Source organism: Homo sapiens, chromosome 5 (assembly GCF_000001405.40).
Source record: "Homo sapiens chromosome 5, GRCh38.p14 Primary Assembly".
Classification (NCBI taxonomy): domain Eukaryota; kingdom Metazoa; phylum Chordata; class Mammalia; order Primates; family Hominidae; genus Homo; species Homo sapiens.
This window is the reverse complement of record NC_000005.10, coordinates 80,423,540-80,440,395: the sequence shown is the minus strand read 5'-3', so window position 1 is coordinate 80,440,395 and position 16,856 is coordinate 80,423,540. Positions and strand designations below refer to the sequence as shown.

Here is a 16,856-nt window from a genome sequence, read left to right as displayed (position 1 = left end):
TATTGAGTACTACTATTGGTAGGTATCTGTAAGTGTTTATTTAGATTAAGATGATTAACATGACAATGATGATGACAAAAACAAATAGGCAGATGAAATGCAGCATTTAGGGACTTGGTACCTGTTAAAAGTTAATGAACTGCCACTCCAGAAACTGAATGCTTCCTTTCCAGATTGGTAGTATTAATTGTGAGAGTGGAACAAAAAGAAGAGAAACCAAGCCTTGGGATGTCCCACCTAAGCCAGATAATTCAACACTAGGTCCTTGCCTTAAGAAAATAAAGAAGTTTATCTTTGTCACAATCCAATTAATTTTAAGATATATTCAATTACTGGAAGAAAATATATCAAGTTAATACTCACCTTTACTAATAGTTTCATAGCAGACTACACATACTCTTGCTTCCTTTTCTAGATATTGCAGTTTACACTTCCTATTACAACAGACACCACAAAATACCTATAAAGAATAAAATATCAAATTTGTCTTTGTTTCAAGAATACTTACACCTACTAGAGGCAGTGTGGGGAGGTCCTAAACCTAATTAACCAAAATTCTTTTTCCTTATTGTATAAATCATTTCCTAATCACCATAATCATAGGAATTCTTAAATGATTCTTTTTTTTGTAACTTAAATGAGGTTTCTGCAATTTGATACCATATTTCTGATAAGGAGAATTCCTTTAAATCAATTCTGTTCATTGGAAAGGGAACAAAAACTATCTTTAATGAATAAGTTCATAATATTAAAAAGTTCTCTGTAGTTCTTCATTTAAAACTTTTTAAAGTAAAATGTTATTTTGTTAAAAAAAAATAGGACTGATCTGAAACCAACATATTACTGAAAAATCTGAATAAAAATGTAATAGGATTTCTATGGGCAACCCTTAGAATTTATAGACAATCTTTTTATCTTGACTGTTATCAGTCAGAACTCAAGGTCAGCTTCAGTATTCTGAACCCTGTGGAAGCCAATTTGCTCTGGAGTGTTTCCCTGGGCATTGATCACAACACTAGCTGTAGATTGGTCTTGAAATTAAATGTTCAAGGACAAAGGGGAATCTGACCAAATCTGGAATATTTAATGTGTCAATATTAGAGAGATAAGAACAAATATTCTTAAATGTCACAAAAATTAGTAACTAAATAATTGTTTCTCATTTCCCAGCATGTACTTAATGCCCCTGACAATGTAACATTTATTCAACCATCAAGCAATCTGCAAAATGACACTGCTTTATATATTTCCCTGACTGGTAGATGAAAAACACTGATTTTAAACTAACTCAATCTTGTAATTATCTGTTCATCAGCCTTTTCTATCACATTGTATTTGTTTAAAATGTCTCAAAAGAACAAAAGACTTAAAAGATTTTTATAACTTACTTTCCCACATGCTCGGCAATGGTGTCGCCGTTTGGTAAAAGTAAATTTGACTTGGCAGTTCATACAGTTTGGAGCTTCTGAATCAGGAACCCAAGTAGGCTGTTTCTGGCCCAAAACCAAGCCTTCTTTGCAAGTGTTTTCAGGTACAGAATCTTCATTTGCAGTTACGAAACTAGATCCACCTTCAGAATTACTTTCTATATCAATGTAATTAGAGTTGAAGCTAACCTGTGGATCAGCTGTAGAATCTATAGCACAAGTGATTGGAACAACGGTATCTGCTGTGCTGGGTTCACTTTCTATTGTATCTGGAACATCTGGCTTATTCAGGTCCTTTGAACTCCTTGTTCTTGATGGAAGGCTAAACAATTGCTTAGGTCTGGCCCCTCCAACAGATTGACTGTTAATATCAGAGACCGATAATTGATTTGTAATCTCAGACTTACTGGTAGGTAACCCTTGTTGAACTGGAATAGTGCTTTTTTCTCCTAAAGAAAGGCCATTTTCTATTGTATTTTGTTTATCAACTATTTCACAAATTATATTAATACCATGACTTTCCCCAATAGCTCCTGCTTCTGCATTGAAATATATATTATTGATGTTTCCATCATCTAAGCCTTTCATATCTATCTGATTCATTTGCGATTTAGAGTCATTTACATTTTCTTCAAAAGACTTTATGTTAGTGGTCTGAAGATACTGTTCTGTCAGAAAGGCATCAAGTTCAGCATCACTAATTAGTGGGCCACTTTTTGCGCCTTCATCAATATTAAAGTAATCTAAGTCTTGCCCATCCATATCATTGCTTGAAAAAGTATTAATAAAACCTTCACAACAATCAGAAGACTCTGGGACATGAGTGCCAGAAAGCCCCTCTTGAGATTCTACAACTGTAGAACTGGTGTCACCACCATCCAAAGACTCAGCTCTGATTACTGTCTGGTCAGGATCTATCTTTCTGTCTTCCATCCCTTCAATTAATGACTGAAGGAGTATGCTTTTACATTTTTCCTGTTTCAAAAGATCATTCTCTTTGAATGGTTCCCCACCTAGAACAACACTGTTCTGTATTTCTTCATGTATAGTCACTGCATCTTGTATATTATCTTTATGTTCATGCTGAGGTAAAAAATCACCCCGTGCTTTACTTTCAATTAATGATCCACACATAGACCCAGACGCAGGAAGACAGGACAATGAGGACGGCACATCTTTACTGGAAACATGTAAAGCTGAAGAGGAATCTTGGATTACATCATTATCCTTAAGGTCTAAACTTTTTGAGTCTTCTTGTGCAGATTGTTTTATAACAGTCTTATCTTCCTGAAAGGAAAAGTCAGGTAATTTGAAATTTTCATCTCTTGAATTTGAATCATTTAAGCATAAATCTTCATTTTTCGGAAGGCTGCAGGTCAAAGCACTTGTCTTGCCCTCTTCTTTTAAACATTCTGCGGCAGTTATGACTGCCACATCTACTTCCTCTTTTACTAAGCCAACATCTTTTAGTAATCCACATGGCTGGCTCTTGTGTTGTAGCTTGTCTTTGGCATGAAACATTTTGGAACTTTGTCGAGTCAAAGCAGATGACATGTTAAAATCAACAATTGATTCTAACTGATTAAAGATCTTTTTATCTTTTAAATTTTCTGTTCCACTGTAATTATAGGAATCTGAAAGTGTTGTATCTACTTTTATACCCAATTCTTTGATTCCTCCGATTTCTCTATTTTGTAATTCAGAACTGATATCATTCTGTTGTTCTCTGACAGTATCACTATCATGGTCTGTTGAAGAAACACAGGGAGTATCTGACACTGAAGATAAATCCAATCCAATCAAGGAATCTGCATTAGACTTAAAATCATCTGGCAATAATTTTTTAATATCTTCTTCACTATTGGTTGCATGAACTAAGTTACCCATGTCACTTATCAGATCACAGATAGGTTTACTACATCGTCCCATATATAACGGCTGGATTTCATCTGAAGTACCACCATCCACAGAAGAAAGAAGATCAAGTCCTGTTACATTTTTTTCATTTTGTATAGAAGTAAGTCCCTTGAGTGTTTTTTCATTCAGGGAACTCTCATTTGTTCCATAGCTTGTTTCTGATGAGGCACAACTATTAACGCACTCTTGGTCTTTTGGGAGCAATGAAGTTCGCTGTGAGGAAGCCAACTCTGAAGAAACTGAGCAGTGGTTAGAATCATATGCATTTTGTACATCTTGGAGATAATCTTGTTCATCTGAAATAGAGAAACAGTGTTATTCGGGAGACTTAAATCAAATAAAAATTATTAAACATATTATGTTTCCCAAGACTTCTAAACTAAATACACTTTTTTAAAAGAACATAGATTATCCTTTTGCAAAACACAAATCACCTCCAAAACTATTTTTGTATTTCCTTTAGAGCATTTATTTTTATCTGAAATTATCTTGTTTGTGATTATTGGCTGTTTCAATTAACTAGAAAGTAAGTGTCACAAGTGCAGGGACCTTGTCTCTTTTTTTTCTGACTTACACCCCTATTGCTTAAAATAATTCCTGAAACTTAAGTGTTCAAGAAATGACTAACTGACTGCATAAACGAATGTCCTTAGATCTTGATCTCATGCATAGTTGCTCTGATAATTTGATGTCCTTGATCTTTGCTTTGTTTGGGAGGACTCCTCAAGTTGGCTTTCTACTTGTTCATTTTTCTGTCACCTGGATCCTACCCTCACTCCCCTGTGGTGCTCTAATTGAGGTTGCCAATTGTAGTAGCATCACACGCTATGGCCACGGTGATGGGCATGTGATGGTTTCAAGATGGGCCACTTAAGAGGCATTCTCCTGTTACTCCAAATTTGAAGAAAGGAAGGAGACTTGTCAGTGTGAATCTGGAGCTGTTGATGGCCACAGCCACATCCAGATAAAAGAAGCCAATAGTTCTGCATTGCTAGGGAGGCCTCAGGAAACTTACAATCATGGCAGAAGGCAAAGGAGAAGCACCTTCTTCACAAGGCAGCAGGAGAGAGAACCCAAAGCTATTTTTATTTGACTTTAAATTACTTCCTGGATTTTACTTTTGAATGTAGATATCATAAAGTGATAAAAATTCCACTCAAAAAAATAACTTAGTTGTGGCCAGGAATGGTGGCTTACAACTGTAATCCCAGCGCTTTGGGAAGCCACGGTCGGAGGATAACTTGAGATCAGGAGTTCAAGACCAGCCTGAGCAACACAGTGAGACCCCATCTGTAAAAAATATACACATTTTTAAATTAGCCGGGCATGCTGGCGCACACTTGTGGTCCCAGCTACTCAGAAGGCTGAGGTGAGAGGATTGCCTGAGGGCAGGAATTCAAGGCTGCAGTGAGCTATGACTGCACCATTGCACTCCGGCTAGGGTGAAAGAGCAAGACCCTGTCTCTTAGAAAAAAAAGAAACTTAGTTGCACTATAAAAACCAGACTAAGGAAGAACTAAAAAACAATCCAACGTCTTTGTTTTGACTTCCAGTTTCCTAGTCTTCGTTTTAAAGAAAATAACACCCAGACGTGGTGGCTCACGCCTATCATCCCAGCACTTTGGGAGGCTGAGACAGGCGGATAACCTGAGGCCAGGCGTTTAAGACTAGCCTGGCCAACATGGTGAAACCCCATCTCTACCAAAAATACAAAAATTAGGCCGGGCCTGGTGGCTCAGGCCTGTAATCCCAGCACTTTGGGAGGCTGAGGCGGGTGGATCACAAGGCCAGGAGTTCGAGACCAGCCTAGCCAATATGGTGAAACCCCGTTTCTACTAAAAATACAAAAATTAGCTGGGCATGGTGGTGGGCACCTGTAGTCCCAGCTACTCGGGAGGCTGAGGCAGGAGAATCGCTTGAACCTGGGAGGCAGAAGTTGCAGTGAGCCGAGATCATGCCACTGCACTCCAGCCTGGACAAGAGAGTGAGACTCCGTCTCAGAAACAAACAAACAAACAAAAAATTAGCCAGGCATGGTGGGGGGTGCCTGTAATCCCAGCTCCTCAGGAGGCTGAGGCAGAAGAAGTGCTTGAACCCGGGAAGTGGAGGTTGCAGTGAGCTGACATGGCGCCACTGCACTCCAGCCTGGGCAACAACAGTGAAACTCCATCTCAAAAAAGAAATAATAATAAAATAAAATACCATCTCTTGTTGTAATGAAATATCAATTCATGCAGAACTCTCAAGTTGCTTTTAGCTTGCTCATATGTTGGTCTTTCTGGGGCCAAGTACATGACTCATGCCTATAATCCCAACATTTTGGTAGGCTGAAGCAGGAGGATCACTTGAACCCCGGAATTCGAGACCAGCCTGGGCAACATAGGAAGATTCTGTCTCTACAAATAACTGAAAAATTAGCCAGCATGGTGGCATGCACCTATGGTCCCACTTGGAGGCTGAAGTGGGAGAAATGCTTGAGCCTCGGGGGTTGAGGCTGCAATGAGCTCTGATTGTGCCACTGCACTTCAGCCTGGGAGACAGAATGAGACTTTGTCTCAAAAATAAAAAGAAAAGAAAAGAAAAGAAATGTCTGTCTTATAGCTAATTTGTATCTAGAAAAAAACTTTCTAGGTTCCTTACTTCTGTTTCTGGCTATGGGTCCCATTCAGTCTAAGAATCAACTAACATCTTATTATGAAATAAATGAACTTTTTGCAGAAGATAACGTGACCAAAATTGAAAGAAAATTTTGCTAATATTACTGTATACCTGAGATAACTTAATTACAGATATTTTTAAATCCCATTAGCGGCAAAAATGGAAAATCAACAAACCTGGGTTCTGTTCAAAATCATCAAGGAGTTTGTCCAAGTCACTGACAGCTGCTTTAAAATAACTGTCCATCCTACCTGCAGACTTATTCAGAATTTAATTCTTGTATGCCTAAAAAATAGAAAGTATAATAATATTTCATTTAATTACATAACAAATTTTATGCCATGTATTCCATGCCAGGAAACACAGTCAAGAAATTGACACAGAAATAAAATTTAAGAGTGCTGCTTTAAGGAATATACAATTTAGTTGGGGAAACTGCCCCTGTATATGTAAAAATGACATGAAAACCAACTCTAACAACATAATATTTGCATATATAAACTATTGTAAATTTTTAAACACTTACCTAAATAACTCATGGGTCAAAGAAGAATTCATAATGGAAAGCTAAAACTACTTATAAATACAACATATCAAACTACAAACGCATAAAAATAATGCACATAAAAACTCTGGGATTCAGGAAAAGTGGTACTTCAAGAGATACTTAGAGCCTTAAATGCTTTTTTTTTTCTTTTTTTAGTGGAAGACAATTATATTCTAACAAATGAAACTATTTTTCAGCAGGGTTTACATGTCATCTCTTTCTATAAACTTCTCTGGAGTTTTTTTTATATACTTTTTATATTATACCTTAAGTTCTAGGGTACATGTGCATAACGTGCAGGTTTGTTAACGTATGTATACATGTCCCATGTTGGTGTGCTGCACCCATTAACTCATCATTTACATTAGGTATATCTCCTAATGCTATCCCTCCCACATCTCCCCACACCACGACAGGCCCTGGTGTGTGATGTTCCCCTTCCTGTGTCCAGGTGTTCTCATTGTTCAATTCCCAACTACGAGTGAGAATATGCGGTGTTTGGTTTTTCGTCCTTGCGATAGTTGGCTGAGAATGATGGTTTCCAGCTTCATCCATGTCCCTACAAATGACATGAACTCATCCTCTTTTATGGCTGCATAGTATTCCATGGTGTATATGTGCCACATTTTCTTAATCCAGTCTATCATTGATGGACATTTGGGTTGGTTCCAAGTCTTTGCTATTGTGAGTAGTGCCGCAATAAACATATGTGTGCATGTGTCTTTATAGCAGCATGATTTATAGTCCTTTGGGTATATACCCAGTAATGGGATGGCTGGGTCAAATGGTATTTCTAGTTCTAGATCCCTAAGGAATCGCCACACTGACGTCCACAATGGTTGAACTAGTTTACAATCCCACCAAGTGTAAAAGCATTCCTGTTTTTCCACATCCTCTCCAGCACCTGTTTCCTGACTTTTTAAGGATCGCCATTCTAACTGGTGTGAGACGGTATCTCATTGTGGTTTTGATCTGCATTTCTCTGATGGCCAGTGATGATGAGCATTTTTTCATGTGTTTTTTGGCTGCATATATGTCTTCTTTTGAGAAGTGTCTGTTCATATCCTTCGCCCACTTGTTGATGGGGTTGTTGGTTTGTTTTTTTCTTGTAAATTTGTTTGAGTTTTTTTGTAGATTCTGGGTATCTGCCCTTTGTCAGACGAGTAGATTGCAAAAATTTTCTCCCATTCTGTAGGTTGCCTGTTCACTCTGATGGTAGTTTCTTTTGCTGTGCAGATGCTCTTTAGTTTAATCTGATCCCATTTGTCAATTTTGGCTTTTGTTGCCATTGCTTTTGGTGCTTCAGACATGAAGTCCTTGCCCATGCCTATGTCCTGAATGGTATTGCCTAGGTTTTCTTCTAGGGTTTTTATAGTTTTAGGTCTAACATTTAAGTCTTTAACCCATCTTGAATTAATTTTCATATAAGGTGTAAGGAAGGGATTCCAGTTTCAGCTTTCTACATATGGCTAGCCAGTTTTCCCAGCACCATTTGTTAAATAGGGAATCCTTTCCCCATTTCTTGTTTTTGTCAGGTTTGTCAAAGATCAGATGGTTGTAGATGTGTGGTATTATTTCTGAGGGCTCTGTTCTGTTCCATTTGTCTATATCTCTGTTTTGGTACCAGTACCATGCTGTTTTGGTTACTGTAGCCTTGTAGTATAGTTTGAAGTCAGGTAGCGTGATGCCTCCAGCTTTGTTTTTTTGGCTTAGGATCGACTTGGCAATGCGGGCCCTTTTTTGGTTCCATATGAACTTTAAAGTAGTTTTTGCCAATTCTGTGAAGAAAGTCATTGGTAGCTTGATGTGGATGGCACTGAATCTATAAATTACCTTGGGCAGTATGGCCATTTTCACGATATTGATTCTCCCTATCCATGAGCATGGAATGTTCTTCCATTTGTTTGTATCCTCTTTTATTTCATTGAGCAGTGGTTTGTAGTTCTCCCTGAAGAGGTCCTTCACCTCCCTTGTAAGTTGGATTCCTAGGTATTTTATTCTCTTTGAAGCAACTGTGAATGGGAGTTCACTCATGATTTGGCTGTTTATCTGTTATTGGTGTTTAAGAATGCTTGTGATTTTTGCACACTGATTTTGTATCCTGAGACTTTGCTGAAGTTGCTTATCAGCTTAAGGAGATTTTGGGCTGAGACGATGGGGTTTTCTAAATATACAATCATGTTATCTGCAAACAGGGACAATTTGACTTCCTCTTTTCCTAATTGAATACCCTTTATTTCCTTCTCCTGCCTGAGTGCCCTGGCCAGAACTTCCAAAACTATGTTGAATAGGAGTGGTGAGAAAGGCATCCCTGTCTTGTGCCAGTTTTCAAAGGGAATGCTTCCAGTTTTTGCCAATTCAGTATGATACTGGCTGTGGGTTTGTCATAAATAGCTCTTATTATTTTGAGATACGTCTCATCAATACCTAATTTATTGAGAGGTTTTGGCATGAAGGGCCATTGAATTTTGTCAAAGGCCTTTTCTGCATCTATTGAGATAATCATGTGGTTTTTGTCTTTGGTTCTGTTTATATGCTGGATTACGTTTATTGATCTGCATATGTTGAACCAGCCTTGCATCCCAGAGATGAAGCCCACTTGATCACGGTGGATAAGCTTTTTGATGTACTGTTGGATTCAGTTTGCCAGTATTTGATTGAGGATTTTTGCAGCAATGTTCATCAGGGATATTGGTCTAAAATTCTCTTTTTTGGTTGTGCCTCTGCCAGGCTTTGGTATCAGGATGATGCTGGCCTCATAAAATGAGTTAGGGAGGATTCCCTCTTTTTCTATTGATTGGAATAGTTTCAGAAGGAATGGTACCAGCTCCTCCTTGTACCTCTGGTAGAATTCGGCTGTGAATCCGTCCTGTCCTGGACTTTTTTGATTGGTAAGCTATTAATTATTGCCTCAATTTCAGAGCCTGTTATTGATCTATTCAGAGATTCAACTTCTTCCTGGTTTAGTCCTGGGAGGGTGTATATGTCCAGCAATTTATCCATTTCTTCTAGATTTCCTAGTTTATTTGTGTAGAGGTGTTTATAGTATTCTCTGATGGCAGTTTGTATTTCTGTGGGATCGGTGGTGTTATCCCCTTTATCATTTTTTATTGCGTCTATTTGATTCTTCTCTCTTTTGTTCTTTATCAGTCTTGCTAGCAGTCTATCAATTTTGTTGATCTTTTCAAAAAACCAGCTCCTGGATTCATTGATTTTTTGAAGGGTTTTTTGTGTCTCTATCTCCTTCAGTTCTGCTCTGATCTTAGTTATTTCTTGCCTTCTGCTAGCTTTTGAATGGGTTTGCTCTTGCTTCTCTAGTTCTTTAAATTGTGATGTTAGGGTGTCAATTTTAGATCTTTCCTGCTTTCTCTTGTGGGCATTTAGTGCTATAAATTTCCCTCTACACATGCTTTGAATGTGTCCCAGAGATTCTGGTATGTTGTGTCTTTGTTCTCGTTGGTTTCAAAGAACATCTTTATTTCTGCCTTCATTTCGTTACGTACCCAGTAGTCATTCAGGAGCAGGTTGTTCAGTTTCCATGTAGTTGAGCAGTTTTGAGTGAGTTTCTGAATCCTGAGTTCTAGTTTGATTGCACTGTGGTCTGAGAGACAGTTTGTTATAATTTCTGTTCTTTTACATTTGCTGAGGAGTGCTTTACTTCTAACTATGTGGTCAATTTTGGAATAAGTGCAATGTGGTGGTGAGAAGAATGTATATTCTGTTGATTTGGGGTGGAGAGTTCGGTAGATGTCTATTACGTCCGCTTGGTGCAGAGCTGAGTTCAATTCCTGGATATCCTTGTTAACTTTCTGTCTCGTGGATCTGTCTAATGTTGACAGTGGGGTGTTAAAGTCTCCCATTATTATTGTGTGGGAGTGAAAGTCTCTTTGTAGGTCTCTAAGAACTTGCTTTATGAACCTGGGTGCTCCTGTATTGGGTGCATATATATTTAGGATAGTGAGCTCTTCTTGTTGAATTGATCCCTTTACCAGTCTGTAATGGCTTTGTCTCTTTTGATCTTTGTTGGTTTAAAGTCTGTTTTATCAGAGACTAGGATTCAACCCCTGCCTTTTTTATGTGTTTGGTATATCTTTTTCCATCCCTTTATTTTGAGCCTATGTGTGTCTCTGCATGTGAGATGGGTTTCCTGAATATAGCACACTGATGGGTCTCGACTCTTTATCCAATTTGCCAGTCTGTGTCTTTTAACTGGAGCATTTAGCCCATTTACATTTAAGGTTCATATTGTTATGTGTGAATTTGATCCTGTCATTATGACGTTAGCTGGTGATTTTGCTCGTTAGTTGATGCAGTTACTTCCTAGCATCGATGGTCTTTACAATTTGGCATGTTTTTTGCAGTGGCTGGTACCAGCTGTTCCTTTCCATGTTTAGTGCTCCCTTCAGGAGCTCTTGTACAGCAGGCCTAGTGGTGACAAAATCTCTCAGCATTTGCTTGTCTGTAAAGGATTTTATTTCTCCTTCACTTATGAAGCTTAGTTTGGCTGGATATGAAATTCTGAGTTGAAAATTCTTTTCTTTAAGAATGTTGATATTGGCCCCCACTCCTGGCTTGTAGAGTTTCTGCTGAGAGATCAGCTGTTAATCTGATGGGCTTCCCTTTGTCGGTAACCTGACCTTTCTCTCTGGCTGCCCTTAACATTTTTTCCTTCATTTCAATTTTGGTGAATCTGACAATTATGTGTCTTGGAGTTGCTCTTCTCGAGGAGTATCTTTGTGGCATTCTCTGTATTCCTGAATTTGAATGTTGGCCTGCCTTGCTAGGTTGAGGAAGTTCTCCTGAATAATATCCTGAAGAGTGTTTTCCAACTTGGTTCCATTCTGCCAGTCACTTTCAGGTACACCAATTAGACGTAGATTTGGTCTTTTCACACAGTCCCATGTTTCTTGGAGGCTTTGTTCGTTTCTTTTTATTCTTTTTTCTCTAAACTTCTCTTCTTGCTTCATTTCATTCATTTGATCTTCAATCACTGATACCCTTTCTTCCAGTTGATCGAATCGGCTACTGAAGCTTGTGCATTTGTCATGTAGTTCTCATGCCATGGTTCTCAGCTCCATCAGGTCATTTAAGGACTTCTCTACATGGGTTATTCTAGTTAGCCATTCGTCTAATCTTTCTTCAAGGTTTTTAGCTTCTTTGCGATGGGTTCGAACTTCCTGCTTTAGTTCGGAGAAGTTTGGTCGTCTGAAGCCTTCTTCTCTCAACTCATCAAAGTCATTCTCTGTCCAGCTTTGTTCCATTGCCGGTGAGGAACTGCGTTCCTTTGGGGGAGGAGAAGCACTCTGATTTTTAGAATTTTCAGCTTTTCTGCTCTGTTTTTTCCCCATCTTTGTGGTTTTATCTACCTTTGGTCTTTGATGATGGTGACGTATAGATGGGGTTTTGGTGTGGATGTCCTTTCTGTTTGTTAGTTTTCCTTCTAACAGTCAGGACCCTCAGCTGCAGGTCTGTTGGAGTTTGCTGGAGGTCTACTCCAGACCCTGTTTACCTGGGTTTCAGCAGCGGAGGCTGCAGAACAGTGAATGTTGCTGAACAGCAAATGTTGCTGCCTCATCATTCCTCTGGAAGTTTCGTCTCAGAGGGGTACCCGGCCATGTGAGTTGTCAGTCTGCCCCTACTCGGGGGTGCCTCCCAGTTAGGCTACTCGGGGGTCAGGGACCCACTTGAGGAGACAGTCTGTCCGTTCTCACATCTCAAACTCCGTGCTGGGAGAACCGCTGCTCTCTTCAAATCTCAGTTGGAAATGCAGAAATCACCCGTCTTCTGTGTCGCTCACGCTGGGAGCTGTAGACTGGAGCTGTTCCTATTCGGCCATCTTGGAACCGCATCTTTTTTTTTTTTTTTTTTTTTTTTTGAGATGGAGTCTCGCTCTGTCACGCATGCTAGAGTGCAGTGATGCTGTCTTGGCTCACTGCAACCTCCATCTCCCAGGTTCAAGCGATTCTCCTGCCTCAGCCTCCTGAGTAGCTGGGACTACAGGCGTGCGCCACCAGGCTCAGTTAACTTTTGAACCTTTTTTAGAAGAGTGGGGGTTTCACCATTTTGGCCAGGCTGTCTCGATGACCTCAAGTCTTCTGCCCGTCTCAGCCTCCCAAAGTGCTGGGATTACAGGCATGAGACACTGCACCTGGCCACCTTAGACACTTATACTACAAAAGAAGAAAGACTGAAAACTAATAAACTAAGAGCAAAAATTCAAAAAAAAAAAAAAAAAAGCATACGACAGAGGCACAAGAAACTAACAGTTAGTTTTATGAAAAGATGAAAAAAGTAGACGAACCTCTGGTCTGGAACAGAAACTCCACCAAATAAGCCCGAGAAACCTCACAGGAATCTGTCAATAAGTAATGGGATAATATCAAAAGGACAAAAGCCAAGTTGAAGGGCACTGGCTTAAATGGGACAAGTGAGCATCAAATGAATGAAAACTGTGAAGGACTAAACACAAATCAAATAGATTTTTTTTAAAAAAACAAAAGATCAAATCATACTAAAGACAAAAACAAAACATACCACTCATTGGAGGGTTAGCAGGGCACTAACCAATTATTCTGAGAATTGATCAATTAAAGGAAAAAAATCAAGAATTTATCCTACCCAAGGACATGACAGGCACTTTTCAAAAGAAGACATTTATGTGTGGCCGGGCGCAGTGGCTCACACCTGTAATCCCAGCTCTCAGGGAGGCAAGAGGCAGGAGGATAGCTTGAGCCCAGGAGTTCGAGACCTGCCTGGGCAATATAGCGAGACCCCATTCTCCAGAAAAAGGAAAAAAAAAAAAAGACATTTATATGGCCAATGAACATAAAAGGGCTCAACATCACTGATCATTAGAGAAATGCAAATTAAAACCACAATGAGATACCATCTCAGGCCAGTCAGAATGGCAATCATTAAAAAGTCAAGAAACAACAGATGCTGGTGAGGCTGTGGAGAAATAGGAACACTTCTATGCAAAGACAGTGTAGCGATTCCTCAAAGACCTAGAATCAGATATACCATTTGTCACAGCAAAATCCAATTACTGGTATACACCCAAAGGAATAGAAATCATTCTATTATAAAGATACATGCATGTGTATGTTCACAATAGCAAAGACATGGAATCAACCCAAATGCCCATCAATGATAGACTGGATAAAGAAAATGTGGTATATATAACACCATAGAATACTATGTGGTCATAAAAAGGAACAATATCATGTCCTTTGCAGGTACATGGATGAGGCTAAAAGCCATTATTCTCAGCAAACTAATGCAAGAACAGAAAACCAAACACCTCATGTTCTCACTTAAAATAAGTGGGAGGTGAACAATGAGAACACGTGGACACAGGGAGGGGAACCAGACACACTGGGGCCTGCTGGGGTGGGGGGGTGGTGGTGAGGGGAGAGCATCAGGATAAATAATGCATGTGGGGCTTAATATCTAGATGATGGGTTGACAGGTGCAGCAAACCACCGTGGCACACGTTTACCTATGTAACAAACCTGCACATCCTGCACATGTATCCTGGAACTTTAAATTTAATTATATATATATATATATATATACACACACACACACACACACACACACACACAGACACACACACATACACACACACACACACACACACACACACCACACACACACATATATATATATATATCTCAATCCGGGGAACCCTGTCCTTAATAATATTGAAATTTCCAATTCATGAGCATGGTATATGATGTGATTAAGCCTCTGTTATATTTCAATAAAGCTTTGTCATTAAAAGAGAAAAATTTATCCTGCCCTTTATTTACAAAATATACTTTGTAACAAAATAATTACTGATGAAAAGTTCTTTAGATAAGAATTCCAGTTAATAAGTACAAAAGGATGTTAAAAATTTTTAATTCATCTCTTCATAATCCCGAATGCAATAAACAGACTAGGCCATGGCTATAAATGGATGTTTACAAGGCTAGAGAAAAAGGTTTACGGGGAACTTTATAATGGTGGGATCAAGTCAACACATCCAAACCCAACAATCAATTTCACCATCAATAAATGTGGAAGAACAATATCACCTAAAAAATATTACTGCCTAAAAAAAACTGCATCTGAATCTAATCAAACTAACTGCATGTTTACAGGAAAGTCAAGCATAAGGGACAAGTTAAATAACATAAAAAGAAAGCAATCAACTAAGCTAATCCTGGAAGGTGAAACACTGTACAGCAACATTCCTCAAACTGCCTATGGTAAATATTTTTCTTACACCTCCAATCCATTGCAAACTCTTACTTTTTAAAAATACAATGAAACTATACAAATTTGTAATAATAAATACAAACAAAAGAATATACATTATTAAACACATCTGTTTGGCTACCTAGCATGGGGACTAGGAAGGGTAAACGGGAGTAAAAGACAATAAACAAATAAGAGGGTTTTACAAGAACTAATTATGATTGTGTGCCATCAACTAAGGACATCTGAGGTCCAGACAAATAAATAAATAAGAGATACTTTAAAAATGGGCTTGAAAATTAGGCAGAGCTTAAGAGAGAACTGAATGACATCGAAGACCTATCTGAAGAAATTACCTAAAGTAATGCCCAGAGGGACGAGGAAGAGAAAAATACAAAAACTAGGTTAAAAGGTATTGAAGACAAAATGAGAATGGAGTACTCTAAGGAGAAAAGACAGCATGGAACAACTATATTTGAAAAGATAATGCTGGGAGTTTTTCCAGAATTGATGAAAAAGCCAACTCAACAGATACAGGTAACATATTACACCAGACGATACAAAGAGAAATCCACATTTAGACACACTATTGTAAAACTACTAAACCCCAAAGATAGAACAGCCAGAGAGCAAAGGTCGCTTTCAAATGAACAATAATTATGCTGGCAACAAACTTAAAACTAACAGGTACACTTCAGAAGAATTTTCAATAACATTGGTTTGGCATCTTAATTCAATGAAGCATGTTACCTTTTTTTGTTTCAATTTTTAAATTGTGGTTATACCACGCACATAGAAGAGTGCACAAAATAAACAGATACCAAACAAACAAAAGGAATTCAGAGGCCAGGCGTGGTGGCTCACACCTGTAATCCCAACACTTTGGGAGGCCAAGGCAGGTGAACTGCTTGAGGTCAGGAGTTCGAGACCAGCCTGGCCAACATAGTGAAACCCCGTCTCTACTAAAAGTACAAAAATTAGCTGGGCATAGTGGTGCATGCCTGCAATCCCAGTTACTTAGGTAACTGAGGCAGGAGAATCACTTGATCCCAGGAGGCAAAGGTTGCAGTGAACCAAGATCACACCACTGCACTCCAGCCTGGGCAACAGAGCAAGATCCTGTCTCAAAAAAAAAAAAAGGAATTTGGAGGAAGACACAATGCAGGAGGCAGAATAAAACTTCAAAGAAGCTAATTAATATTCTCAGAGACAAAAAAGCAATGCAACCATGAAACAGGAACAGGAAGCCATAAATAAGAACTACATATAGAGAACAAAAAAAGGTCATGGAACCTGATCGCAGAAATCTTAAAATTCAAGCAAGGCTTGTGAGCTGCAGTGAAAGCACTGTTTAAGGGACAGTGACAGCATTAAAAATGCATATATTGAAAAAGAATTTGGGAGGCCAAGGTGGGTGGATCACCTGAGGTCAGGAGTTCGAGACTAGCCTGGCTAACATGGTGAAACCCCGTCTCTACTAAAAAATACAAAAATTAGCTGGGCATGGTGGCAGGCACCTGTAATCTCAGCTACTCGGGAGGCTGAGGCAGGAGAATCACTTGAACCTGGGAGGTGGAGGCTGCAGTGAGCCAAGATCCCACCATTGCACTCCAGCCTGAGCAACAAGAGTGCAACTTCATTTCAAAAAAAAGAAAAAGTAAAAGAAAAAAAAAATCTAAAATCAATAAGCATCCACCTTGGGAAACTAGAAAAACAAAAATAATTTTGGCCTAAAACAAGTAGGAAAATAAAAATTAGAGCAGAAATCGGCCAGGCGCAGTGGCTCACGCCTGTAATCCCAGCATTTTGGGAGGACGAGGTGGGCGGATCACAAGGTCAGGAGATCGACACCATTCTGGCTAACAAGGTGAAACCCCGTCTCTACTAAAAAATACAAAAAAAATTAGCCAGGCATGGTGGCGGGTGCCCGTAGTCCCAGCTACCTGGGAGGCTGAGGCAGGAGAATGGCGTGAACCTGGGAGGTGGAGCTTGCAGTGAGCTGAGATCTTGCCACTGCACTCCAGCCTGGGCAACAGAGCAAGACTCCATCTCAATACATAAATAAA

General features: G+C 39.1%; 1 protein-coding gene across 19 annotated transcripts in view; it reads right to left on the bottom strand.

Moving 5' to 3' along the window:
* The window catches only part of ZFYVE16 (zinc finger FYVE-type containing 16), a 75,770-nt gene that overhangs the window by 42,984 nt on the left and 15,930 nt on the right, over positions 1-16,856 (bottom strand). For 8 of the 19 annotated variants that reach the window (NR_146173.2, XR_007058663.1, XM_005248632.5 and 5 more), the window contains 3 exons: positions 6,179-6,287; positions 1,389-3,640; positions 364-460 (listed from right to left, as the gene is read on the bottom strand). Coding sequence is in view for 15 of the 19 variants with exons in the window: in XM_005248632.5 (XP_005248689.1) it covers positions 364-460; positions 1,389-3,640; positions 6,179-6,248 (2,419 nt within the window). In the remaining 4 variants the exon portion in view is untranslated. Of the gene's footprint in view, positions 1-19; positions 461-1,388; positions 3,641-6,178; positions 6,288-12,850; positions 12,905-16,856 lie in introns of those variants that run through there. The other 11 variants (XM_017010092.3, XM_017010091.2, XM_024446270.2 and 8 more) reach the window with 5 other exon arrangements.